Source organism: Homo sapiens, chromosome 8 (genome assembly GCF_000001405.40).
Source record: "Homo sapiens chromosome 8, GRCh38.p14 Primary Assembly".
In the NCBI taxonomy this organism is placed as follows: Eukaryota; Metazoa; Chordata; class Mammalia; order Primates; family Hominidae; genus Homo; species Homo sapiens.
The window spans coordinates 42225128-42253080 of NC_000008.11; the positions used below are offsets into that span (position 1 = coordinate 42225128).

Consider the following 27953-nt stretch of genomic DNA (forward strand, 5'->3'; position numbering starts at 1 on the left):
TCTGTTAACTTTTAATGAGTTGTTCATTCAGTTATGGGATTTTAAACTGATAAGAGTTGGGCGTATAGTTCCGGTTAATTTTTTATGCTAACGATGTAACTTTTTGTCTTTGCTAACTTTTATTATTACTTTGTTATTTTCTTTTTTTTTCTTTTCTTTTTTTTTTTTTTGAGACGGAGTCTCGCTCTGTCACCCAGGCCAGAGTACAGTGGCGCGATCTCGGCTTACTGCAACCTCCACCTCCCGGGTTCAAGCGATTCTCCTACCTCAGCCTTCCAAGTAGCTGGTATTACAGGCTCATGCCACCATGCCCGGCTAATTTTTGTATTTTTAGTAGAGACGGGGTTTCACCATATTGGTCAGGCTGGTCCCAAACTCCTGACCTCAGGTGATCCACCCACCTCGGCCTCCTAAAGTGTTGAGATTACAGGTGTGAGTCACCGCACCCGGCCTACTTTGTTATTTTCATACAGCACTTTTTCTTTTTTTTCTTTTTAAAAATTTACATCACACAGGTAGTGTGCCGACATCTTGATAATGTTAGAGGGAGGCACATCCATCCATGAGCGTGAAAACTCAACTATCTGCTTATGAGCTACGAAAGGATCACATAGCACTTCTTCCAGATTCCCAGTGTTTTTCATGTCAATGACTGAATATGAATATTTTGGGAAATGTTAAACACAATTTAATTAGACGTGGGAAAGGACTAGGGTGAATTCAGAGTAATCAGATGTCCCCAAAACTACCCCTAGTAAATTAGTTTCTTGGACTGAGCTATAATTCGATCATCCAAACCTTTTAGCATTCTTACCATGTTCTGACTCATCTCCTTTAGAAGTTCCAATAAAATGCATCATATTATGAATTACAGATTTTTCATTGAGGAGAGAGAGGGGTGGTGTGTGAGCATTCTATGGACTGTTTTATTAATTGTCAAATTCTCCTTTGGACTATTTAACCATGGAGACCTTCATAAACATTGTAGTCTAAGCAAGTGAATGTAGCCTGTTGATTTTAAATTCAAAGTCTGCGCTTCTCCTAACAGTTTTTTTTTTCTTTTGTGAGATGGAGTCTCGCTGTGTCAATTATACTGGAGTGCAGTGGTGCAATCTCTGCTCACTGCAACCTCCGCCTCCCGGGTTCAAGCAATTTTCCTGCCTCAGCCTTCCAAGTAGCTGGGATTACAGGCACACGCCACCACGCCAGGGTAATTTTTGTATTTTTACTAGAGACGGGGTTTCACCATGTTGGTCAGGCTGGTCTCGAACTCCTGACCTCATGATCCACCCACCTTGGCCTCTCAAAGGGCTGGGATTACAGGTGTGAGCCACTGCACCTGGCCTTCCTAACAGTTTTATAACTACACTTGTACTGACTCTTCTATCCAACCAAGGCTTTGCTGATATGGTGGGTAAATAAGCTGAGGTTATAGAAGAATATCATTTCTAGAAGAGGTTCTCAGACAGATATAAGCACCACACATTTAATGTTAAGCCATTACTTGCAGTTCTCTGGTAAAAAAAATTCTTTGTATTTAGGACAAAGCATGGTGAGATACCTTAGTTCTTGTCAGGGTCTCGATTTATGTATTCTCCAATATTAAAGTCATTTTTGTAATATCACCTATTTACAAACCTAAATGTAATAATTTATTTAGTCAAGAATTATCAACAGATACTAAAACCATCAAGTGAAAGGTTATGGTAAACAGAGTATTTTCATGGCACTAAAGAATTATGCACAGATTCATTGTGAATTGCAAAGAGAAAATGTGCCTTTATATGGAGAGATCTGGCAGTCACCACTTTAATAAGGCAATCAAAATTAGCCTCACAGATAGTGGAACAGCCTCACCCAATGTGCCTCCTAATGTGATGCAAAAAGTACACCCTATCATCCATGAACTCTTTAGTGTCCAAAATGTTTAATCTGAGTCTATTCAAGGTGGCAAATGTAACTTCCAGGTCCCTGGAAGTAGAGGGGATAGAGAAAAAGTTTAAAAAGGCATCAAGAGATCAATTACACAGATCTAGGCAACTTCAACCTGTGTAACATTGCACAAGATGACTGTCCCAGACTTACCACAAATTCAAGGTCAGCCTACAGGTGATGCAGTGGCACAAACCTGTAACCCCAGCACTTTGGGAGGCCAAGGCAGGAGGGTCACTTGAAGCCGGGAGTTCAAAACCAGCCTGGGCAACATAGTAAGACCCTTTCTCTACAAAAAAAAATGTTTAAAAATTAAATGGCTAGGGCACGGTGGCATGTGCCTGTGGTCCCAGCTACTCAGGAGGCTGAAGTGGGAGGATCGCTTTAGCCTGGGAATTCAAGGTACAGTGAGCTGTGACCACACCACTGTACTCCAGCCTGGGTGGCAGAGCAAGATCCTGTCTCTAAAAAAAAAGAAAAAAAATTAAAGTTATTGGGGGGAATAAAAGGGGCTGGGTGTTTCAGGGCTAGGCTGAAAGGGATGATGGAAGAACACACAGCTAGCACTTGCAAGCAATGAAAGCTACGAAAGACATTCCTGGGATCATTTCAGAAATTGGAATACTGTTTGTAGATAGATGATCTTATGGAATTATGATTCATTCTTATAGGTCTGATAATAGTACTATACTTACATAGGAGATTATTCTTAGATTAACACTGGAGGCTGGGCACAGTGGCTCACACCTGTAATCCCAGCACTTTGAGAGGCCAAGTTGGGCGGATCACCTGAGGTCAGGGGTTTGAGAGCAGCCTGGCCAACATGGTGAAACCCCGTCTCTACTAAAAATACAAAAATTAGCTGGGGGTGGTGGCTGGTGCCTGTAATCCCAGCTACTTGGGAGGCTGAGACAGAAGAATCGCTTGAACTCGGGAGGTGGAGGTTGCAGTGAGCCGAGATTGCTCCACTGCACTCTAGCCTGGGTGATGAGAACGAAACTCTGTCTCAAAAAAAAAAAAAGCCGGGCAAGGTGGTGGTGCCTATAGTTCCAACTTTTTGGGAAGCTGAGGCAGGAGCATCGCTTGAACCCAGGAGGTGTAGGTTGTGAGCTGAGATCATGCCTCTGCACTCCAGCCTGGGCCACAGAGTGAGACTCCATCTCGAAAAAAAAAAAAAAGAGAAGATTCACACTGTAATATATAGGGATGACCTGTCATTCATAATAATGTCTACAGCTTATTTTCAAATGACATAGCAAAATATAAACATAAATTTTCTATTTATCTATCTGTCTCTCTATCTATCTATCTCTCATCTGTCTACCTAACAGACAGATTGAGAGAGAAAGAATGCACAAATATGATAATATGTCAGCAATTGTTTAATCTGGGTGGAAGGTATGTAGATTTTCATTGTACCATTCTTTCAACTTTTATGTGTTGGAAACCTCTGCCTTCAAAAATGGAGAAATAATTTTAGCTTCATTTATACTTCAGCTGGAGCTATCCATGATTTAGTTGAAACTTAACTGCACTTTTTAAATCTTAAACATACTGTACATTGGGGAGTACTGGTTTAAGTCAATGGTATGAATTCAGTTGCTATGCTAGGATGAAATTTACCATTCTAAGGATAGCTTAGTCAAACCCTCATGTATCACTTGATTTTTAAAAATCACTGCTGATTCCCGGGTGACACAGTTGAACAAGATATGGTAAGCTGCCTTATGGTGTGCTTGCTGCCAGGGCCCTTTAGCTTTCGGTGAACGAGGGGTCTTTATGATCAGTAATGCTGATGCTCCCATGCATAGTTCTGCTGACAACTAACAGTGAAGCCAGGCCCAACCTCCATGCATCTTGGCCTATAAAAGCCCATCTGTGGGTTTCCATTGCCTGGCTCTCATATAAGCTAAATTAATTCGGGAAGCTTTTGTGTCCTGTGTCCGTATTATTATTATTTTTTTGAGACAGAATCTCACTCCGTTGCCCAAGCTGGAGTGCAGTGGTGTGATCTTGGCTCACTACAACCTACGTCTCTGGGGTTCAAGTGATTCTCCGCCTCAGCCTCTCGAGTAGCTGGGACTACAGGCACCCGCCACCACGCCTGGCTAATTTTTGTATTTTCAGTGGAGACAGGGTTTCATCATGTTGGCCAGGATGGTCTCAAACTCCTGACCTCAAGTGATCCACCCACCTCGGCCTCCCAAAGTGCTGGGATTACAGGTGTGAGCCTCTATGCCCAGCCTGTGTCTTTATTAAAGCAGAAAATCAGGTAATTTACATACATGTAAATCCAATTTACAAGTATTATAAGACCCATTAGTAATTTAAACATTGTTTATACTTAACAGTTAACCTTCTGATATAGTATAATAGTTATTGCTGTTGTAGATACTAATCTTCCTTTAGAGGCTTAACAAGATAATAAAAGTAATAGGGTTAGTAATTCAGGGAGGTGGGAGGATTTGCAGTAAATTAATTAGATTAATTTAATTTTATATTTATTTCTACTTTATACTTTTTTTGTTTTTTTTTGAGATGGACTCTTACTCTGTCGCCCAGGCTGGAGTGCAGTGGTCTCAGCCTCCCAAAATGCTGGAATTACAGGCGTGAGCCACCGCACCCGACCACTCACAAACATTAAGTAAACAGCATTTACAGATTGCACATGGCAAGCTGTGAGCCTATTTTTCGGTTTCCATGGCCATATCAGGATTGCAGCATCCCTCATATTTAATAAGATACCATGTGACCTGCGTGACGGCAAGATGTATCCGTAGGATTTGTGCACTTTTCTGTTTGTCTGCTAAGGTTACATTAAAATAAAACAAAACAAAAGATATCCAACAGATGAAACCAGTTATGCATGACTATAGACCTATTAGTCATGAATTCATTGTCATGAGGTTTTATTCAAGAGAATGAAGGGCAATTTTGGGTTGCATGATCTTGAAGAAAGACCCAGATACTAGCTGTCTATATTTCAGCCTAGAAATTGTTTTGAACAGTAGGCCAGTGCCAAGAAGAAGGATCCTTGGCCAAGCACGTTGGGGCACACCTGTGGTCCCAGTACTTTGGGAGGCTGAGGCAGGAAGATTGTTTGAGCTCAAGAGTTGGAGACCAGCCTGGGCAACATAGTGAGACTTCATCTCTACTACAAATTAAAAAAAAATTAGCTGGGTTTAGTGACACACACCTGTAGTCCCAGCTACTCAGAAGGCTGAGGCAGGAGGATCGCTTGAGTCTGGGTGAATCGAGACTGCAGTGAGCTATGATTGTGCCACTGCACTCCAGCCTGGGTGACAGAGCAAGACACTGTCTTAATTAATTAATTGATATAAAATTTCCTACATTCTATTATAATGATTCCGTACAATTAGAGAGCTGTAAATACTTAATTTAGACCTACCAGTAAAACAGTAATGTTTATGTAGAGGAGGAAAGATCATTTTCTATTTTTCACAGTTCTTAACTGGAACTGAGAAAAGAACTTTTATGTGATGTGTGTGAGCCTTTTAAATTAGCATCCCCAGGCTGGGCGTGGTGGCTCAGGCCTGTAATTCCAGCACTTTGGGAGGCCTAGGCAGGCGAATCACTTGAGCCCAGGAGTTCAAGACCAGCATGGCCAACATGGCAAAACTCTACCTCTACTAAAAATACCAAAAATTACCTGAGCGTGGTGGCGGGTGCCTGTAATCCCAGCTACTCTGGAGGCTGAGGCATGAGAATTGCTTGAACCCAGGAGGCAGAGGTTGCAGGGAGCTCAGATTGCACCACTGCACTCCAGCTTGGGCAACAGGGCGAGACTTTGTCTCAGGAAAAAAAAAAAAAGAAATTATTCAGCCCCAGAGAGGCATAAAAATGAGCCAGCAATCATGTCCTGCTCCCCATTGAGCTATGTGTTCATCTACTGAAACTACTTGCTAGTGCCACAAGTAGCTATGAATTAACCTAAGAATGGTGCACTGCACACTATGACACATACCCTATACCTTATAACAATATACAGCCAATCACAAATCAGTGCTATTTCTGTAAACAATGAGAATTCTGGACAAGGAACTTTGTATTCCCCTTTTATTGCCTTTAAAAACCCACTTGTAGCCAAGACCAAATGGAGCGCCTATTCGAGGTGGCTTGGGTCTTAGTCTTCCAGGCAGTTGTCCTCACGTTGGCTCAAGTAGACTCTAAATTATATTTTGTGTCTCAACCCCTTCCTTTTAGGTGGACAGGACAGACCCATGTAACAAAAGACAGATTAACAAGAGAAAAAGAAGCAGATATTTAATTACTTGTGTGCCTCATGTGTATATGGGAGATACCTAAAAAATGAGTAAATCTCAGGTGTGAGCCACTGCATCCAGCCACTTTTTAAATTGTAAACATACTGTACACTGGGAAGTACTGGTTTAAGTCAATGGTATGAATTCAGTTGCCAGGATGAAATTTACCATTCTGAGGATAGCTTAGGATGAAATTAACCATTCTGAGGATAGCTTAGTCAAACCCTCATGTATCATTTGATTTTTAAAAATCACTGCTGATTCCGGGGTGACATGGTCAAACAAGATGTGGTATGCCTTATTGTGTGCTTGCTGCTAAGGCCCTTTAGCTTTTGGAGAATGAGGGGTCCTTATGATCAGTGTGCTGACAGCAATCACATTCTACACATTCTACTCCCCGCTGTTGAGCTATGTGTTCATCTCTTGAACCTGTTTGCTATTACCACAGGTAGCTATAAATTAACACAACAATGCTATAACAGACACTATAACCCACACTCTCAGCTTAACGATGTATAGCCAATCAATAACTGATGTTGTTTTAATATAAATTCTTGGTAAACAACTCAGAAACTGCCTCTTGCCTCCCACAAAAATCCACTTGTAATTGCCGCTAAGCAGGGTATATATTTAGGGCAACTTGAATCTGTGTTCCTGGGTTGCAATCCTCAAGCGTGACTCAAAGAAACATTTTACTTGTACTAACTTTGCCTCAGCTTCTTGCTTTTAGGTTGACACCATAAGGCCAGGTGGCTTTTTGAGCCAGGTACCAAGTCAATTCTTCCAAAAGGCTTTATTGGTTCCTTAAAGTCCTCCTTAGTTCCCAAAAACAGTCAGGTCATATCTGATTCTGTGCATGTTCTTCTCATGTATGGCTCAGTGAAATAATTGGTAATATCACCAATGTTTCCAGTTGAGTTCTGTCATACAGAGAACAGATTCTCATTGAACCTATGCAAAAAACTACATTGCCATGAAAATAAGAATGCTTCGTAAAAGTTCTGAATTCCAGATGGAACAGGTAGGGAGAAAAAAATAAATACTTCAATTCTGTTTACAAACGTATAATTTACCAGATTGCTGTAAATTATAGTTAGCTTAAGAAAAAGAGAAAAAACGTTTCCTTAAATCAGCAAAAACAAAACATTTAAAAAAAGCAGTGTTCAAACAAGGAGTCATAAAAATTATAATCAGCCTCCTCAGTTTATTTAGTCCCAGGTAATTAATTCTTGTTCTGCTTGATCTTAGTTCAGTTTCATTATTAGAATTCTGGAAATTCCTACCCAATCCAGTAAGATGATCTTAAAGTTATTATATCAGAAACTTATACTTGTCAGAGTTGTCATCATGCATTTCCTTGGAGACAAAGCTCTTTCAGGTTATAGTTGCTTACAAAAGCTTTCAGGAAAGGATCAGAGTGTTAGTGGCGGCAAATCCATGCCCGTCTGCAGCAACCTCAGTTCTTGCCTCCTCAGAAGAAAGAATTTGACTGAGGGGCATAAGGCAGAAGAAGAGACCAAGGCAAGTTTCAGAGCAGGAGTGAACGTTTATTAAAAAGCTTTAGAGCAGTAATGAAAAGAAAGTAAAGTACACTTGGAAGAGAGCCAGGTGGACATCTTGGAGGTCCAGCAGGGGGTCTGACCTTTTTATCTTTTTATTTTTTATATAAGATGGAGTTTTCACTCTTGTTGACCAGGGTGGAGTGCAATGGCTTGATCTCGGCTCACTGCAGCCTCTGCCTCCTGGGTTCAAGCGATTCTCCTGCCTAAGCCTCCTAAGTGAGTAGCGGGGATTACAGGTGTACACCACCAAGCACGGCTAATTTTGTATTTTTAGTAGAGACAAGATTTCACCAAGTTGGCCAGGCTGGTCTCAAGCTTCTGACCTCAAGTGATCTGCCTGCCTCGGCCTCCCAAAGTGCTAGGATTATAGGTGTGAGCCACTGTGCCCAGCCAGGTTTGACCTTTTGACTTGGGGCTTTATATGTCGGCTTACTTCCAGCATCTTGCATTCCTTTTCTGGTGGAATACCCCAGAAAGGTCATATACCAGTTAAACTCCGCCATTTTGCCTCTTAATGTGCATGCTTGAGCTCACTTGCCCAACTCCTGAGATCTTATCAGGAAGATGCTGATCACCAGTTTCAGGGGTTTTTTTTATCTATAGGGAGACTGCCTTTCCCTGGCAGTGGTTAGGACCAGTTGTTATTTTAGAGAGGCAGTGTGACAGCTGCCTGACTGTAACTACCCAAGGGGTTCACCTTGCTCGCCTCCTAGAAAGAGCCAATTCATCAAGACAGGGGAATTGCAATAAAGACTAATTAATGCAGAGCTGGCTGTGCAGGAGACCAGTTTTATTATTACTCAAATCAGTCTCTCCCAGCAGTCGGGAGCAGAGTTTTTAAGGACAACTTCGTGGGTTGGGGGAAGCCAGTGAGCTAGAAGAGCTGATTGGTCAGGGATGAAATCACAGGGAGTCGGAGCTGTCTTCTTGCTCTGAGTCAGTTCCTAGGTGGGGGCTGCAAGATAAGATGAGTCAGTTTATTGATCTGGGTGGTGCCAGCTGATCCATCAAGTGCAGGGTCTGCAAAATATCTCAAGCACTGATCTTAGGAGCCATTTAGGGAGGGTCAGAATCTTGTAGCCTCCAGCTGCATGACTCCTAAACCATAATTTCTAATCTTGTGGCTAATGTCAGTCCTACAAAGGCAATGTAGTTCCCAGGCAAGAAGGAGGTCTGCTTTGGGAAAGGGCTGCTATCGTCTTTGTTTTAAACCATAAACTGAGTTTCTCCCAAAGTTAGTTCAACCTACGCCCAGGAATGAACAAGGACAGCTTGGAGGTTAGAAGCAAGATGGAGTCAGTTAAGTTAGACCTCTTTCACTGTCTCAGTGCCTTTTGCAAAGGCAGTTTCATGACCATCACCTGATGTTCGCCTGACTTTCCTGGTGAGGCATGAGGCCCTCTCCTGCCCTGTTCCTGCCTGACGAGCTTCCCACTGTAACAAAAATAAAACAATTAACTGTGGATGACAAAATTCTTAAAATGGTCATGATAAAAGATTTTATGAGAGTTCATTATAATGTAATTGACAAGAAAATGTGATTATTTCTGTGATACACAACATTTTAAGACAATAATGAAATCACCTTTGCAAAATTAAGACAGGAAGATAAATCTGATGTGTCTGACTGCATTTGCCTGTAGCCTCACAGGTTGGCTGTCTGGGCATGGACCAAGCTAACTTTGGGAGAAATTTATTTTATACTTTATTTATTTTATTTTATTCTATTTTATTTTATATTTTGAGATGGAGTCTCACTCTGTCACCCAGGCTGGAGTGCAGTGGTGCAATCTTGGCTCACTGCAACCTCCACCTCCCAAGTTCAAGCAATTTTCGTGCCTCAGCCTCCCAAGTACCTGAGATTACAGGTGTCCACCATCACGCCTGACTAATTTTTGTACTTTCAATAGAGATGGCATTTCACCATGTTGGTGAGGCTGGTCTCGAACTCCTGACCTCAGGTGATCTGCCCGCCTTGGCCTCCCAAAGTGCTGGGATTACAGGCGTGAGCAACTGCGCTGGCCTATTTTATAGTTTAAATGATAATAGTCCTTCCCCAAAATTAAACTGTTATAAAACTAATGAAAGGCCACCAAGTTAAGAGAAAGAAAATGGTTCAAATTCTAAATAATTACCTGCCATTATTCCAGAGGTCATAAGATTTGCAACTTCTCCAATTACTTGTGAAGATAACATCACTACTCTAGAACCTAACATTGGCCTTTTGATGTCAATTTTTTTTCTTTTTTTTTTCTAACTCTTTTTACTGTGGATTTTTCTTTTTTCTTTTCTTTTATTTTCTTTTTTTTTTTTTTTTTGAGACAGAGTCTCCCTCTGTCACCCACGCTGGAGTGCAGTGGCACAATCTCAGCTCACAGCAACCTCTGCTTTCCAGGTTCAAGTGATTCTCGTGCCTCAGCCTCCCAAGTAGCTGGGATTACAGGTGTACACCACCACGCCCAGCTAATTTTTTGTATTTTTACTAGAGTCAGGGTTTCTCTATGTTGACCAGGTGGTCTCAAACTCCTGGCCTCAAGTGATCTGCCCACCTTGGTCTCCCATATTGCTGAGATTACAGGCATGAGCCACCGCACATGGCCTGATTGTCCTTTTGAGATGGCTTTTCAAGTTTTTGCATTTCTAACAACCAGATGGCCCCACCCAGGAACTGACACAGCATAAGAGGACAGCTTCGATTTCCCGTGATTTCATCTCCAACCCAATCAATCAGCATTCCCCCTACTTTACCGGCCTGCCCACGAAACTATCTTTGAAAACCTCCTAACCTCCAAGCCTCTGGGGAGATTGATTTGAGTAATAACTTCATCTCCCACGTGGCATGGCCAGCGTCATGTCAATTAAACCGTCTTTACTGCAATGCCATGGTCTGAGTGAGTTGATTTTGTTTGTGCAGTGGGCAGTAAGAACCAATTGGCTCAGCCTGGCCAACATGGTTAGACCCCATCTCCACTAAAAATACAAAAATTAGCTAGGCATGGTGGCGGGCACCTGTTGAGGCAGGAGGATTGCTTGAACCGGGTGGGGGTTGGGGGGCGGAGGTTGCAGTCAGCTGAGATCACACAACTGCCCTCCAGCCTGGTGACAGAGTGAGACTCCATCTCAAAAAACAACAACAACAAAAAACAAAAAACTAGAATTATGACTGATAACATTATACAAGGACATGTCATGGAACATTCATATTAATAACATATATCCATACAAAGGAAACTTTTAAAAGATTAAGCATCACTTCTCTCTTTTTTTTTTTTAATATTTAGAGATGGGGTCTTGCCATGTTGCACAGGCTGGTCTTGAACTCCTGGCCTCCAGCAATCCACCCACCTTGACCTCCCAAAATGCTGGGATTCCAGGTGTGAGCCACTGTGCCTGGCTACTTCTTTTTCAGCCATGCTTCCTATGTAATTTAACATATCAAATAAGCCTAATTAGTTTAATATCTCTCTGTAAAATCTCAAAGTGAGGTCTAGGTCAAAAAGACTTCATTTAGATTTTGATTTGGGAAAGTTGTCGAAACTGTCAAAACATTTAAAACTCTTGATTAAAATAAATCACAGGGGCTGGGCGCAGTGTCTCATGTCTGTAATCCTTGCACTTTGGAAGGCCGAGGCGGGTGGATCACCTGAGGTTGGAGTTTGAGACCAGCCTGACCAACATGGAGAAACCTCGTCTCTACTAAAAATTAGCCGGGCGTGGTGACGCATGCCTGTAATCCCAGCTACTTGGGAGGCTGAGACAGGAGAATTGCTTGCACCCAGAAGGCAGAGGTTGCGGTGAGCTAAGATTGTGCCATTGCACTCCAGCCTGGGCAAAAAGAGTGAAACTCCATCACACACACAAAGAAATCATAGGTCACTGTGAAACAATACTTAGTTATCCATATAACCAAAGTGAAAAAAATTTCAAGAGCAAATACAAAAACTAACATAGCCTTTTAAAAATATTTCAAAATTTTAATTTAAAATATTTTTTAAATTAGAGACAAGGTCTCACCATGTTGCCCAGGCCGGTCTTGAGCTCTTGAGTTCAAGTAATCCTTCCACCTCGGCCTCCTAAAGTGCTGAGATTATAGGCATGAACCACCACACCCGGCCAATGTAGTTGTTTTTTTAAAAAACACCCCAAATCTTATCTCTTTTACGAGAGAAGGCTCAGTTTTTTTTTTTTGTTTGTTTGTTTTTGAGATGGAGTCTCACTGTTGCCCAGGCTGGAGTGGAGTGGTACAATCTCGGCTTGCTGCAATCTCCGCCTCCCGGGTTCAAGCGATCCTCCTGCCTTAGCCTCCCGAGTAGCTGGGATTACAGGTGCCCATCACCATGCCCAGCTAATTTTTGTATTTTTAGTAGAGACTGGGTTTCATCATGTTAGCCAGACTGGTCTTGAACTCCTGATCTCAGGTGATCCTCCTGCCTTGGCCTCCCAAAGTGCTGGGATTCCAGGCATGACCACCATGCCCGGCCTAGTCTTATGATCTCTATTTTAACATTAATACTTATCAGTTGTTGCATCTAAACTCTGAAAGGGAGGGGTATAATGGGGCATATCTGACCTCCTTTCCCGTAATGCCTGGGAATTCAGTTTTTAAGGTGTTTCTAGGGTTCCCTTGGTCAAGAGGGGGGCCCTTTCAGTTGATGTGGGCCTTAGGATCTTATTTTTAGTTTATACCTTGCCAAACGTCGAAGAAAAAATTCTGGACTGACACCCACCCCTACCAGTAAAGGCCAAGTGGGGGACTCTCTCCCTCCCCAGGCTACAATGAGGGGGATCTGCTCCTCTCTTCTGGGGGTTGCAGAAGAGCCTGGTGAAGAATAAGGACTGGCCAGGTGCAGTAGCTCACACCTGTAACCCAGCACTTTGGGAGGCCAAGACAGGAGGATTGCTTGAATCCAGAAGTTCAACATCATCTTGGGCAACAGAGTAAGACCCCCTCTCCACAAAAAATCAACAAAATTAGCTGGGTGTGGTAGTGCATGCCTATAGTCCCAGCTACTCCAGAGGCTGAGGTGGGAGGACCACTTGAGCCCAGGAGGTCAAGGTTGCAGTTAGCTGAGATGGTACCACTGCACTCCAGCCTGGGCAACAGAGCAAGGCCCTCTCTCAAAAAAAAAAAAAAAAAAAAAAAAAAAAAAGGACTTTCACCAAGACCAGGGGTAACAAGGCTACCCCACAACTCAGTATCAGTAAAGAACAAATGGGGAGCAGTAACTAGGAATTCCGATCCCTGCCAGCCAGAGAAATGTTAGTGGAAACCATTGTCCCTGCCTAGCAGTAATGAGTCCCTACCCTTGAGAACCAACATTGGCTGAGTGGGGAGCGTGTGAAATCATCTTTGCAAAAATTACGAGAGTGAGAGAAGTCTAGCCTGGCTGGGTCCATCTTGCTTCTAGCCTTACAGGCTGACTGTCCTCACTCATTCCTGAGTGTAAGCCAAGCTAGCCACAGGAGGAATTTAGTTTACACTTTAACTTTGAAGCAAGGATGATAATAGCCCCTCCATAAAACTGACCCCCTCCTTGTTCAGGGACTGAAAGAGCCTTTGAAAGACTAATGAAAGTCCACAAGATGAGGATGATGGGAGGGGCCCAAATTTTGCTAAGATGCAGGTGTAGTTAAATGATAACCAGCCATGGTTCCTTAGGTGGCTTTCCTATAATCCTTTACTGGTTAGGAGTCACGGAGCCAGAGGTCGTTGAGATTTGTGACTTCCCCAATCACTTCTATAGATAACATCCTTGTTGTAGAACCTAAGATTGGTGTTTTGTGATGTTTTTCAGGCTTTTTAATTCTGGGACCAACTGACTCCACCTGGACCCAAGGGTCATGACTCACCCAGTCCTGTGGCCACCATCCAGAGACTTACTTAGCACGAGGGCTCTTTTTCACACCCCTGTGATTTCATCCCCTACCAATCATCAGCACCCATTCCCTAGCCCCTGCTTGCTAAATTATCCATAAAATCCCTAGCCTCTGAATTCTTCAGGAGACTTATTTGAGTAATAAACTCCCATCCTTTTGCTTGGCGAGCTTTGAATTAATTAAACTCTTTCTCTACTGCAACACTGCTGTCTCTGTGAATTGGTTTTTTCTGTGCAGCACACAAGAAGAATCCATCTGGTGATTACACCTGGACCTGTACCCCCATCTGGCTGTGATGAGGTAGCTCCTCCTCCCCTGTCAGAGTGGTATCAGAGGAAGCAAGCTAAAACACATGCTTTAAGTAAGATCCAGAGACTCATAGTCTAATGCCCCAAAAGTCCATGGATCAATCAAAAAACACTCATCACAGTTCCTTTGGCTGGAGGCTTTATGTCAGCAGCCACAGCTACGGGGCCTCTCCTGTGAGCCTGGGGTGACCATCCTCGAAGCCCAACAGCATGGCCCTCATCCCGCTTCCCATCTCCTTCTCGCTCCCTTTAGCCGCCCTCTGGGCCACTGCGTCTGCCATTCCTCAGGTGGCCTGGCCCGACCTGCTTGGCCCCCATCCCCTCCGGTGGGTATCTCTCCCCACCAGCTCAGCCTAATTTAAAGTGTTTTTAAATTGGACCTCCTTTATATTGTATTTAGAATTAGCATCCAAAATTGACAAATTACCAATTTGAGGCCCAACAACAGTGTATTTGTTTCTCCAAAACAAATACTTTCTTTTGAATGGTTTCAAATGAGCCAACCAATTTTTGTAAAAGGCAATTTATATATATATATATATATATTTATTTATTTATTCATTTTTTTTTTTTGAGATGGAGTTTTGCTCTTCTTGCCGAGGCTAGAGTGCAATGGCACGATCTTGGCTCACTGTAACCTCTGCCTCACAGGTTCAAGTGATTCTCCTGCCTCAGCCTCCCAAATAGCTGGGAGTACAGGCACCACCCACAGCTAATTTTTGTATTTGTAGTAGAAAGGAGGTTTTGCCATGTTGGCCAGGCTGGTCTCGAACTCCTGACCTTAGGTGATCCACCTGGCTCAGCCTCCCAAAGTGTTGGGATTATAGGCATGAGCCACCGTGCCTGGCCGTAAAAGGCAATTTTTTAAAACTATAAATACAAGATTGTAAACTGAATGATGATATGTCTTCCAGGAAAAATCTTTTTGAATTTCTGTTTTCCTTTATAACAAACTGATTTTTACATTCCCAAGTCATTTGCACGTTAACAGAATACTTAAATTTGCTTGTTCTGTACATAAACTATGATACAGCCTCTAGACATAAGAAAATTTGAAAAATTAAAGATGGTTGCACAAGATGCTTTCATAATCAAGCATGTGACACCAGATGGCAATTTGTTAGCCAAATGCTGTTTTTTTTTTTTTTGAGGAATCACTTTGGTTTTTTTGTTCCCCTGTTAGTTACAACTTTATTAGAAGTGTTAATTCTAAGCCTGTCTCTTAAGTTTATTTAGAAACAGCAAGTAATTGGGGCCAGGCACAGTGGCTCACACCTGCAATCCCAGCACTTTGGGAGGCCGAGGCGGGCAGATCACGAGGTCAGGAGATCGAGACCATCCTGGCTAACACAGTGAAACCCTGTCTCTACTAAAAATCCAAAAACATTAGCCGGGCATGGTGGTGGACGCCTGTAGTCCCAGCTATTTGGGAGGCTGAGGCAGGAGAATGGTGTGAACCCGGGAGGTAGAGTTTGCAGTGAGCCAAGATCATTCCACTGCACTCCAGCCTGAGCGACAGAGCAAGACTCAGTCTCAAAAAAAAAAAAAAAAAAAAAAAAAAGAGCAAGTAATCTATATTGCCACACACCTTGAAAACAGAATGTGGGCCAGACACTGTGGCTCATGCCTGTAATCCCAGCACTTTGAGAGGCCGAGGTGGGTGGATCACAAGGTCAGGAGTTCGAGGTCAGCCTGGCCAATATGGTGAAACCCAATCTCTACTAAAAATACAAACATTAGCCAGGCATGGTGGCACACACCTTTACTCCCAGCTACCTGGGAGGCTGAGGCAGAAGAATCGCTTGAGCCCTGGAAGCAGAGGTTGCTGTGAGCTGAGATTGCGCCATTGCACTCCAGCCTGGGCAACATAGCAAGACTCCGTCTCAAAAAAAAAATGTGGTACATTTAGGACACCGACAAAATGAATTTTTTCTTGTTCCAATTCAACCTTCTTTTCTGTCTGGCTGTGCTAGGAAAACAGATATTACATGTTCTGTATCATTTTTGCCATTATAGTCAAATGTTAAAAGAAAAAATCAGTTGCTTTTAATCTTTGTTTCCATTGTTTGTCAAGGTTAAATTAAGAAGCTACTGGTTTATTCCCAACAGTTGATGCCTTTAGATATGTTGGAATCTTTTTTTTTTTTTTTTTTTTTTTTTTTTTTTTTTTTTTTTTTGCCTAGGAAGGGCCAGTTGAAAATCTGTGGCCCAGGAGGCAGAGAATGTAATACCATTTTCTGGGGAAAAACTGGTTGGCTACTTGATGTTAATTATGGCACAGTAATAGGAAAAGGTTATTGTCTGTGTCTTTAAGTTTTTCTTTATTCTGCTTTTTTGCTGCTATAAGAGTTTTCTGAAATTTATATTTTAAACTTTTCGTACACTTTACTGCTTCTAGTTTCAAAATGTGACATTCTTAATAAACAAGGAATTTTCCACTAAAAAAATACTAATCACAGCAAGAACCAGGAAGATCTCACACTGAATGAAAAAGACAATCAACAGAGGCCAACGCTGAGATGTTAGAACTATCTGACAAAGATTTTAAAGCAGTCATCCTAAAAATGCTTCAATGAGCAACTAGAAACCTACTGGAAACAAATGAAAAAATAGAAAGCTTCAACCCTTTGTGGTAGAATAGAGTGGAATTGATAGGGACATATCAGCCCACCTGCTTATAAGTAGCAGTGGTAAAAGTCATGTTAATGCTGGCAGGAGAACACAAAGAGAATGGGTAGAACTGGTTAGTATGGAACTCAAGCTTCAGTTAGATGGTCGAACTAATATTAGAGGAGAGAGGTCAGTTAATATGAAAAAGGGTACCCATTTAAAGTAAGCAGATGGCCTGGCGTGGTGGCTCACACCTGTAATCCCAACAGTTTGGGAGGCCGAAGCGGGCGGATCACCTTGAGGTCAGGAGTTTGAAGCTGGCCTGGCCAACATGGTGAAACCCCATCTCTACTAAAAATACAAAATTTATCTGGGCATGTTGGTGCGCGCCTGTAATCTCAGCTACTCAGGAGGCTGAGGCAGGAGAATTGCTTGAACCCAGAAGGCAGAGGTTGCAGTGAGCTGAGATTGCACCACTGCACTCCAGCCTGGGTGACAAAGCAAGACTCCATCTCAAAAATAAATAAATAAATAAATATTTAAAAATAGACATAAGTAAATAAATAAATACAGTAAGCAGATTATAGCATCATCCCTGTGGTTGGGATAAAGATTCCTAGCATTGAAAAATGGATTTTGAATAGAACTAATATCGTGGGGTTTAGATGCTGTTATTAGCAGAGCTCACCTTATAGCAGTATTTTACACTAAAAATAATAAGGAAATTAGAGATATTAAGGTGGATGTTGTCAAGTGGATGTATCAAGGAAGTAGGGTCTCTATAACCCATAATTAAGGTATAATGAGAATTCTATATATGTGGTTGGTATATTAATTGTAGCTGAGTTCTGTAGAGAGTGGGGAGTGTACTGGTCCATGCTATCTTCTGCCACCCTGTACAGCAACGTCCTCCATTTGGCCTGGTCGCTAGTCATTGACCTCACTTGCTGCAGCATCTGCGGCTGATGCCTACAGTCCTTCCCCGGCCTCTGGCTTGTATAGCCAGGGCCACCTCTGCCAAGTGTCCCCTCATGCATGCTGAGAAGTCACTGCTGGTGCTCTGAGCCTCCCCCAGTCCCTTCTGATGCTCTACAGGGAGCTGAGGGACACTGGCTCTGGCCATACCCAGTGCGATTTCCACATGATGGCTGCAGGACCGGACTTTGTAGTAATGAGCAGGCCACTCAACGAAGGCCCAGATCATAACCAAAATGCAGGGTCTGTCAGTTGCTACTTGCAGAATCCAATTCACAAGCGCGAGTTCTGGTATAAAGTGGCTTTTATTCCAAAGCCAGCTTAGGGGAAGAAGCATAGGCTTCCTGGCTTAAGGGTACGGCTTTGCTCTCGGAGTAGAAAGTGGGCACTTTTAAAAGGCAGGGGAGGAGGTGAGCAGGTTGGGGGTGGTCCTCGTGCCAGCTTAGTGTCTTACCTACTGGGCGGTTGGACTGGCATTTTCATGGCAGAAATGGGTTGTAAAAGTGGCCTAAAACTCTCCAGGTGGGGAGAGAGTTTTGTAGTGGGACTTTGGATTGTAAATTGACTGTTATCTCTCCATGCAGCCTCCTGGTGGGTGAGCGTTCTGCTCTGGAGCATCTAAGCACAGAGTTAGATGAATTTGTAAGAAATATCTGATGAAGAGGAGGTAATAGACTATTATTGCATTTCTAAAGAGCTAAAGTAAGAAGTGGGGAAAAGGAGGAAAAAGAAGAAAGAGAAAAAAATAATTAAACTATTTCTTAGAAAAATTGGGGTACTTGGTTACAGATCTGTGTTCTCAGAACCCCAGAACATCTCTGGAGGTTTTATGTCCCACCACTTCCCTGAGTTTTGGTTAGGATTAATCATAATCTCAACTATTAATTGACATCATGGACAGTAGAAGAATAACTAGTGTAACTTCACGTGAAATTTTTGGTGCTACTGCTTATAGCACTCCATAAAGCCACTTCGGTTTGAAGTTTGGTCAGATGGTAGAATTGAGTTTAATTTAGACGGACAGTACTCACAGGAACCCAGTTTGTAACCGGTAGTGAGTAAGGTCATGTTGTTCAGAACATTAAAATAAGGATAAACAGTTCTGGATTCTGGGTTAATCATTTTAAGAGTCTATGTATTTGGATAAGTTCATTTATTGGGTCGCACAATATTTGAGGTTTTGCAATTGCACATGGTCTAGAATTTTGTTCATACTGGAAAAATTAGAATATAGGTAGAAACTGGCTGAACTCAGATGATGTAGGATCACCTAAGCAGATGTGGATTAATCTACTGCTGCCCCATTAGGGAATTCTAATCTAACTCCAAGCCTGTATGCCCGATTGTCTATACAAACTGCAAAACAAGTTCCTATTATCCTTGGGATAACTGTTTCTGGAAACTAAGCTTTGGTTCCCTCAATTATATTTATGAAAATGTTTCACAAAATGTATTCCTTATTTTATTTGGAAGTTTTGCCATGCTTTGAGGTCATCCACCCAAAATGAGGAAACCCAGGCCCATGTGTTTGTCACATGGATCAGGTAATTTTATTTGAATGGATTAATTATTTTTAAATCTTCAGAGTCTTCCAGTCTTACTTGACACAGGGTAGTCAGTTATCCTATTTGGGAGAAGAAGATCTTGGAACAGAGCCCATTCCGTTTCCCCTTTAGAAAATAAGGGAGGGGGCTTCCCGGGCAGTTCCAGCACTGTGTCATTGGTGGAGATGGTTAACAGACAGACACATACGGAGCTATTGGTTATATTTTGGGTAAACAGACCTGATTTAAGTATGCCACATTCCTTTTACTTCTTTTAATCTTCCTTAAGGTATTCCTGTGCTGATTAATAATAATTTGAAAAAGCAATTGAATTTTTTTTTAATTTTTAGAGATGGGATCTTGCTCTATCACCAAGGCTGGAGTGCAGTGGTGCTCACTGCAGCCTTGACCTCCTGGGCCTAAGTGATCCTTCTGATTCAGCCTCCCAATTAGAGTTTCATTTTATATGTGAAATTGTTAGTTATAAATGGATTAGCTACATTGGGCTGCCGCCTATAATTGGGTCAGGGTTTGGAAAGACCCAATGTCCAAACTGACCACACACAAAAGTGCTATTTCCTATGCCCTACCAGGCTGAACTGCACTTCAGTGCTAGCTCTGTGCTCTAGTTTATAACCTATGGAAAAAGCTCTTCTGTGGCATTTGAGAGACTAGTCTGAGAGCATGTAGTTGCCAAATGATTTACTTTCCAAGGGCTTTTGGGCCCTTTCTTTAGAAATTCTAGTTTGGGCCGGGCGTGGTGGTTTACACCTGTAATCCCAGCACTTTGGGAGGCCAAGGCAGGAGGATCACGAGGTCAGGAGATTGAGACCATCCTGGTCAACATGGTGAAACCCCGTCTCTACTAAAATACAAAAAAAAAAAAATTAGCCAGGCGTGGTGGCACGTGCCTGCAGTCCCAGCTACTCAGGAGGCTGAGGCAGGGGAATCGCTTGAACCCAGGAGGTGGAGGTTGCAGTTAGCTGAGATCGCACCACTGCACTCCAACCTGGCGACAGAGCAAGACTCCATCTCAAAAATAAAATTTAAAAAATAATAATAATAAAAGAAATTCTAGTTTGATGATTCTTTACGTGTTGGGAATACCTCACCCCCATGTCTCCAATGACACCATGAGTTTACAACTTCTGGTGTGATGGAAGCAGAAAATGGGTCAGGACGCCTCAGTCCCTCAGTTCTGCAAACTGATTGTGTTCACAAAGGCTGATTGACAGGCCCCAGGCCATCTGCCAGCAGCTCCCAGGGAGCCACACAGAAATGTGTTGGAGAAGCCTTTGAGCGGTGGAGAATCACACAGCCAGGCAGAGTAACGCAGGTTCTGTCTGAACACACTTGGCATGCATTTGACAGCAAGATAAAGGAAGAGTGAAATCCTGTCTCGAGGGGCTCATTGTTTCATCGTTCTGTAATCATTATAGAATCAAGTACTCTAAAGCTCAGAAAGGAAAGACAGCCCTTAGTTTACAAGACCTGAGAGCCCTTACCCGGAAAATGTACTGAAAAGATAAACATTTTGGAAAGCAGTTGGGCAAGAACTATTACAATATTTATATCTGCTTACTTTCTGAAGCAGCCATTTCACCTCCAGGAACTTCTCTGAAACTCTTGACATATAAAAGGATGTTTACTGCAGATACACGTAAAAGGATGTTTATTGCAGCATTTTACAGTAGCCAAAATTGGAAACAATCATAAACAGGGAAGTGGTTAATTAAGAAGTGATACATCAATCCAATGGAATATGATCCTGCTGTTAAAAAGAATAAGATCTGATGCAGAGATATTTTCTTTTATGCTTGTTTTGTTTTTTGTTTCGAGACAGGATCTTGCTCTGTCACCCAGGCTAGAGCGCAGTGGCACAGTCACAGCTCACTGCAGCGTCAACCTCCCAGGCTCAGGCAATCCTCCCGCCTCAACCTCCTGAGCAGCTGGGACTGCAGGGGCATGCCACCATGCCGGGCTAATTTTTGTAGAGTCAGGGTCTCACTATGTTGTCCAGGGTGGTCTCAAACTCCTGAGCTCAAGCGATCCACCCCACTTGGCCTCCCAAAATGTTGGAATTACAGGTGTAAGCCACAGTGCCCAGCCCAGATATAGTTTCAAGATATAGTACTAAGTAAAAAAAAATTGCAGAAAAGTTTATCTCTGTGAGTGACTTTGTCAGAGTTTCACTTTCTATAATATGTTTCTCTATTGCTCTGGTTCCCTTCTCCCCAAAATACATTGTTTTGCACTTTAAAAATATCAAAATGGGAAAGATATGTGTAATAAAACTTATATGTCAGGATCCAGTGAGATGTAGCAGGCCCCTAGCACAGTCAGGCATCAAGTGATGCTCACTAAATCTTAGCTCTACGATATCAGTAAACATCTATGTGCAATGGATACCTTCTTGATCTTGTTGCATAAAACTGCAGAATCTCAGAGAGAAGGGTTAGGAGAAAACAGCTTCTTAAGCAGCTTTTCTACCCTTTGACTATCCCTACATGGCAATTTCAAGTTTTCTAAGGAAGTTGGGACTGGTTTCTTATAGCAGCAGTCCCTAAACTTTTCGGCACCAGGGACCGGTTTCGTGGGAGACAATTTTTCCACGGACCTGGGGTTGGGGTGGGAGTGAGGGGGAATGGTTTTGGGATGAAATTGTTCCACCTCAGATCATCAGGCATTAGTTAGATTATCATAGGGAGCAGACAACCTAGATCCCTCACATGCATAGTTCACAACAGGGTTCCTGCTCCTAGGAGAATCTGAGGCCGCCACTGATCTGACAGGAAGCGGAGCTCAGGCAGCCTAGTGAAGCTATGAGAAGACGGCCACCATCCTTCAGACCCCAAAATGGTAGATCCACCGACAGCTTGCATCGTGTGCCTGTAAAAGCCACAGACAACGCCACAAACACTCAATGCCTGCTTGTGAAAGCAGCTGGCAGTCGGAGGGGGTGGGCTGTACCCTGCAAAGCCACAGGGGTGGAGCTGCCCAAGGCCATGCATCAGCGTGTTTTGGATGTGAGACATGGAGTCAAAGAAGATTATTTTGGAGCTTTAAGATTTAATGACTGCCCTGCTGGATTTCGGACTTGCATAGGACCAGTGGCCCCTTGGTTTTGGCCAATTTCTCCTATTTGGAATGGGAGCATTTGCCCAATGCCTGTACCTCATTGTATCTAGGAAGTAACTAACTTGCTTTTGATTTTACTGGCTCATAGGCAGAAGGGACTTGCCTAATCTCAGATGAGACTTTGGACTGAAACTTTTGGGTTAATACTGGAATGAATTAAGACTCTGAGGGAAGACATGATTGGTTTTGAAACGTGAAAGGGCCATGAGATTTGGGAGGGGCCGGAGCAGAATGATATGGTTAGGCTTTGTGTACCCACCCAAATCTCATCTTGAATTGTAATCCTCAGGTGTTGAGGGAGAGACCTGGTGGGAGGTGATTGGATCATGGGGGCAGTTTCCTCATGCTGTTCCCATGATAGTGAGGGAGTTCTCGTGAGATCTGATTGTTTTATAAGTGACAATTTCCTCTGGGCTTTTCTCTATCTTTCCTGCTGCCTTGTGAAGAAAGTGCCTGCGCTGGGTGCAGTGGCTCACACCTATAATCTCAGCACTTTGGGAGGCTAAGGCGGGTGGATCACAAGGTCAGGAGCTCAGGACCAGCCTGGCCAACATGGTGAAACCCTGTCTCTACTAAAAATACAAAAATTAACTGGGCACAGTAGTGGGCGCCTCTAATCCCAGCTACTCAGGAGGCTGAGGCAGAAGAATTGCTTGAACCTGGGAGGCGGAGGTTGTAGTGAGCTGAGATCTCACCGCTACACTCCAGCCTGGGCGACAGAGCAAGACTCCGTCTCGGAAAAAAAAAAAAAAAGAAAGTGTCTTCTTCTCCTTCCACCAGTAAGTTTCCCGAGGCCTCCCCAGCTATGTGGAACTGTGAATCAATTAAACCTCCTTCATTTACAAATTACTATCTCAGGTATATCTCACACTTTATAGCAGTGTGAAAACGGACTAATATAGGTGGTAATGCTCGCTTGCCCACCACTCACCTCCTGGTGTACAGCCTGATTCCTAACAGGCCACAGACCGGGACCTGTCTTCGGCTCTTGGTTTGGAGACCCCTGTCTTAGAGTATTGATACTACCATTTGTTGTTCTGGCCATTTTTGCCAAGCAGCTGTACAGTGCATATCAATTGCTGGTGATGTAGAAAGGTAGATGTTTTCCAGGAAGCATTGATCTTTACCTTAGAGCCCAATGTTACTGCTCTTTTTACAGAGAGTTTTGATTTTCACAAACATTTTCCATAATGCAATTTGACTTTAATTGGGTGGGTATGCCTTTTTTTAAGAGACCCAAATAGCCGGCTGCAGTGGCTCATGTCTGTAATCCCAGCACTTTGGGAGGCCAAGGCAGGCGGATCATGAGGTCAGGAGTTCGAGGCCAGCCTGGCCAACATGGTGAAACCCTGTCTCTACTGAAAATACAAAAAGTGGCCAGGTGTGGTGACAGGCACCTGTAGTCCCAGCCATTTGGGAGGCTGAAGCAGAAATCAATTGAACCCAGGAGGCGGAGGTTACAGTGAGCTGAGATCGTGCCCCTGTACTCCAGCCTGGCAACAGAGGCTCTACCAAAAAAAAAAAAAAAAACAAATATCCCCTCCAAATTTGCATCACAAAACAGATAAACAAAGGTGTAAATTTTACTATTGCAAAAGGACTCTGCTTCACTGGAAGTTCTTTCAAGCATTCTTTTACACTGGTTCATTTGAAAAGGGATTCACTTTATAAAAATTTGACAATACAACTTTTATTAAACATTTCTTTCACAGAACGAGATTTTTTTATTGGGCCGGGTGCAGTAGCTCACACCTGCAATCCCAGCACTTTGGGAAACCAAGACAGGAGGATCACTTGAGCCCAGGAGTTTGAGACCAGCCTGAGCAATACAGGGGACCCCATCTCTACAAAAAAACTGAAAAATTGGCCAGGTATGATGGCACGTGCCTGTGGTCCCAGTTTCTTGAGAGGCCGAGGTGGGAGGGTTGCATGAGCCTGGGAGGTCAAGGCTGCAGTCCGCTGTGTTTGTGCCACTGCACTCCAGCCTGGGCGACAGAGCAGGCCCCTGTTTCAAAAAAAAAGACAAAATATCCCTATAATTTATATATGCATGTATATATATGTGTGTGTGTGTGTGTGTGTGTGTGTACATATATATATATGTTTTTTTATTAACTGGGACTAAGACTAACAAGACCAATAAACTACAAGACTTTTGATTCTACCAGGGGAAACCTGATGGACTTTCTGAGTCTTAGGATGACATGAGAACCTACAAAGCTCTACTAGAAGGCCATGCATTCAAAAAGGCCCTGGAGAGAAATGCAGAGGCTAGTGCAGATCTCAGGGTTGCACTTAACATCCCTGTGGCCAGGGACAAGTTGCTTCACCGCTGTTCCATTTCCTCATTTGCAATCATGGAAGAAGGATTTTACTCACTGAATTATTTTGAGGATTAAAGAAAACATGTATTATTCTCCAGATGTTAAGACATTATGGGATGGGCACGGTAGCTCACACCTGTCATCCTGGCACTTTGGGAGGTGGAGGTAGGAGGATCACTTGAGCTCAGGAGTTCGAGACCAGCTTGAGCAACACAGTGAAACCTCGTCTTCACTAAAAATAAAAAAAAAAAATTCAGCTGGGTGTGGTGGTGTAACTGCCCAGTGAATTCTTGTCCACTGCCCAGATAGAGCCAATTTATCAAGGCAGGGGAATTGCAGTGGAGAAAGAGTTTAATTCACATAGAGCTGGCCGAATGAAAAACTAGAGGTTTTTGTTTGTTTGTTTGTTTGTTTTTATTACTCAAATAAGTCTCCTAGGGCATTTGGGGGCTAGGGTTTTTCAAAGGTAGTTTGGGGAAAGGGGTTGGGGTGACTAGGTAATGATTGCTTGCTGCTGGTTGGTTGGTAATGCAATCACAGGGGTGTGGGAAATAGTCCTCCTGGGCACTGAGTCACTTCTGGGTGGGGCCACGGGAGTAGTTGGTGGATCCAGGTGGAGCCATCGGTATCAGACATACAAAAAAACCTGAAAAGACATCTCAAAAGGCCAATCATTGGTTCTATGTTAGTGATGTTATCTGCAGGGGTAATTGGGGGAAGTTGCATATTTTGTGACCTTCAGAATAATGGCTGCCAATCATTTACATCTACACCCTAGCAGAATTCAGGATCTTCTATCCTCCTAGCCTGGTGCTCCCTCATTAGGATTATAAAGGCAGCTGAGTTTGGGGAAGGGCTACTATCGTTTAAACTATAAACTAAATGTCTCCCAAAGTTATCTTGGCCTAAGCCCAGGAATAATTAAGGGCAGCCAGAAGGCCAAAGACAGGGCCGGGAGGGGTGAGGAGGTGGGGGCAGGGAACGGTGGTGATGGGGCTTGGCAAGATCAGATCTTTCCCACTGCCATCATTTTCCCACTGATATACTTTTTGTAAAGGTGGTTTCAGTGGTGTGTGTCTGTAATTCCAGCTACTCAGGAGGCTGAGGCAGAAGGATTGCTAGAACCTGGAGGATCAAGGCTGCAGTGAGCTATGATCACACCACTGTACTCCAGCCTGGGCAACAGAGTGAGACCCTGTCTCACAAACAAACAAAAAAACATATTATGAAGTTATAGTAATTAAAATAGCTCCTAGAGAAACAAATGGAGGGCTGCACGCAGTGGCTCACACCTGTAATCCCAGCACTTTGCCCAGCACTTTGGGAGGCCAAGGTGGGCAGATCACTTGAGGTCAGGAGCTCGAGACCAGCCTGGCCAACGAGACCAGCCTGGCCAACATGGTGAAACCCCACCTCTACTGCTAGAAATACCAAAAGTGTTAGAAATAGATCATCGGTGCCACGAACAAAAGAAAGCACAGAGACAAAAGATCTCTCAGCAAGGCCATCTTTACTTTCTGCAGAAAGGGTGCTCACTCACAGATGGAACAATGGCGAGAGCACACTTGAACAAAGGAAAAGCAGACATAGTTATCCCTTAAGCATTTGGGTCGTCTCTACTGCTGTATCCTGCATCCATTGGCTGGAGCAGGACCTCACAATCTTAAACTGATACCTGATTTGCTAATAGCCTAAAACTTTCCTCAATAGGTTAGTGCAGGGAAGAACAAAGAAGTTGCTTACGGAAGGTTTAAGGAAGCAATAACATGTCCATATAAGGAAGGGGCATAGGCTGTGAGCTGGAACGTGCCTGTGAGCATGTCCAACAGTTACATAGGATAGGGTTTAACAAAGAGTTATTAGCACAAAGCAAGGAGGCTTGAAGAAAGTTAGTCTTTAAAAGAAACTATTTTTCCTAACACTTATGATTTATTCTTTAACAAGAAGGAAAACTTTGAAGAGGAAACTTTTTACTTTCTACATCTACTAAAAATACAAAAATTAGCCAGGCATGGTGGCAGACACCTGTAATCCCAGCTACTAGGGAGGGTGAGACAGGAGAATCACTTGAACCTGGGGCAGAGGTTGCCGTGAGCTGAGATTGTGTCACTGCACTCCAGCCTAGGCAATAGAGCAAGACTCCATCTCAAAAAAAAAAAAAAAGAAAAGAAAAGAAAAGTAACAAATGGAGAGATTGTTAGCAGTGACAAATCCATACAGGTCTGCAGCAACCTCATTTCTTGCCTCTTCAGAGGAAAGAATTCATCCAAGGGGCATAAGGCAGACTGAGAGCCTGTAAAATCAAGCTGCAGACATAGATAAGCAAGCTGGAAGCTTGCATAAGTGAATGCTGGCTGCTGCGCCAATAGGAAAAGGCTACCTGGAGGCCAGGCATGTTCAACATGGAGGCTCCATCTTCCCTTTTCTTTGTCCCCACATATGCAGTAAAAGAGCAGGTGACATGGCACTGGCCAGGTAGAGACCCCATCTGCATAATAAAAGATTAGGGTGGGATGGCCAGCTTCTTCGCACTATGCAAACGGCACACCTGGTCCAACCAAGGTCTTGTGCCCTATGTAAATCAGACACTGCCTCCTCAAGCTCCTCTATAAACCCCATGCATTCCACCACAGAACCGGATGACCCACTCAGGAGTCCCTCTCTCTCTGTAGGAGAGACAGCTATTCTCTTTCTTTTGCCTATTAAACCTCTGCTCTTAAACTCACTCCTGCGTGTGTCTGCATCCTCTATTTCCTTGGTGTGAGGCAATGAACCTCAGGTATTACCCCAGATGAGCAACACCACCTCACTAATAGCTGGGACTACCGGTGCGTGCCACCACACCCAGCTAATTTTTTAAATTTTTGGTAAAGACCAAGTCTCACTAGGTTGATGAGGCTGGTCTTGAACTCCTGAGCTCAAGCAATCCTCCTGCGCTGGCCTCCCAATGTGCTGGGATTACAGGCGTGAGCCACTGCACCCAGCCAAGATAGATTTTTAAATAAATGTCTGGAATAATAAGCTAGCCCACTGGGGAAAAGAAATAGTGCTGAATCTCTTCCTCATTCCTCATACAAAAGGAAATTCCAAATGAATCATCATACCTTAAAAAGTACAAAGGGGTCATTCCTCTACAAACCATACATTCTCATCAGATGGGTTTTATTTAACCCTATGTATTGTGACGTACTTTCCAATCTGACTCTAGCATAACATGACAAAGAAGAAAGTTAAAATATTTTAACCCAAAACATGTTTCTTTGCCATATTTTGAAATGGCCCTGCAAAGCTGTCCTTTGTGGGGGAAAATTTGTATCTGTAAAGAATCTCTATTAACAAAGCTAGATCTTTTTCTTCCAGGCCCTTCCAATCCTGAAGAGATTAACGAAGAGTCTAGCAC

At 43.2% G+C, this 27953-nt stretch overlaps 1 long non-coding RNA gene and 1 other non-coding gene across 2 annotated transcripts in view; both read right to left on the reverse strand.

Moving 5' to 3' along the window:
• Positions 1-505: 505 nt before the first annotated feature.
• LOC124902095 (small nucleolar RNA U13) lies at positions 506-607 on the reverse strand. The gene has a single exon (XR_007061223.1). It is a non-coding gene; the product is annotated as a small nucleolar RNA U13 (small nucleolar RNA).
• Positions 608-8546: 7939 nt separating this feature from the next.
• The window catches only part of IKBKB-DT (IKBKB divergent transcript), a 37577-nt gene continuing 18170 nt past the window's right edge, over positions 8547-27953 (reverse strand). The window contains exon 4 of the long non-coding RNA NR_185845.2: positions 8547-8732. This is a non-coding gene — a long non-coding RNA (IKBKB divergent transcript). The remainder of the gene's footprint in view (positions 8733-27953) is intronic.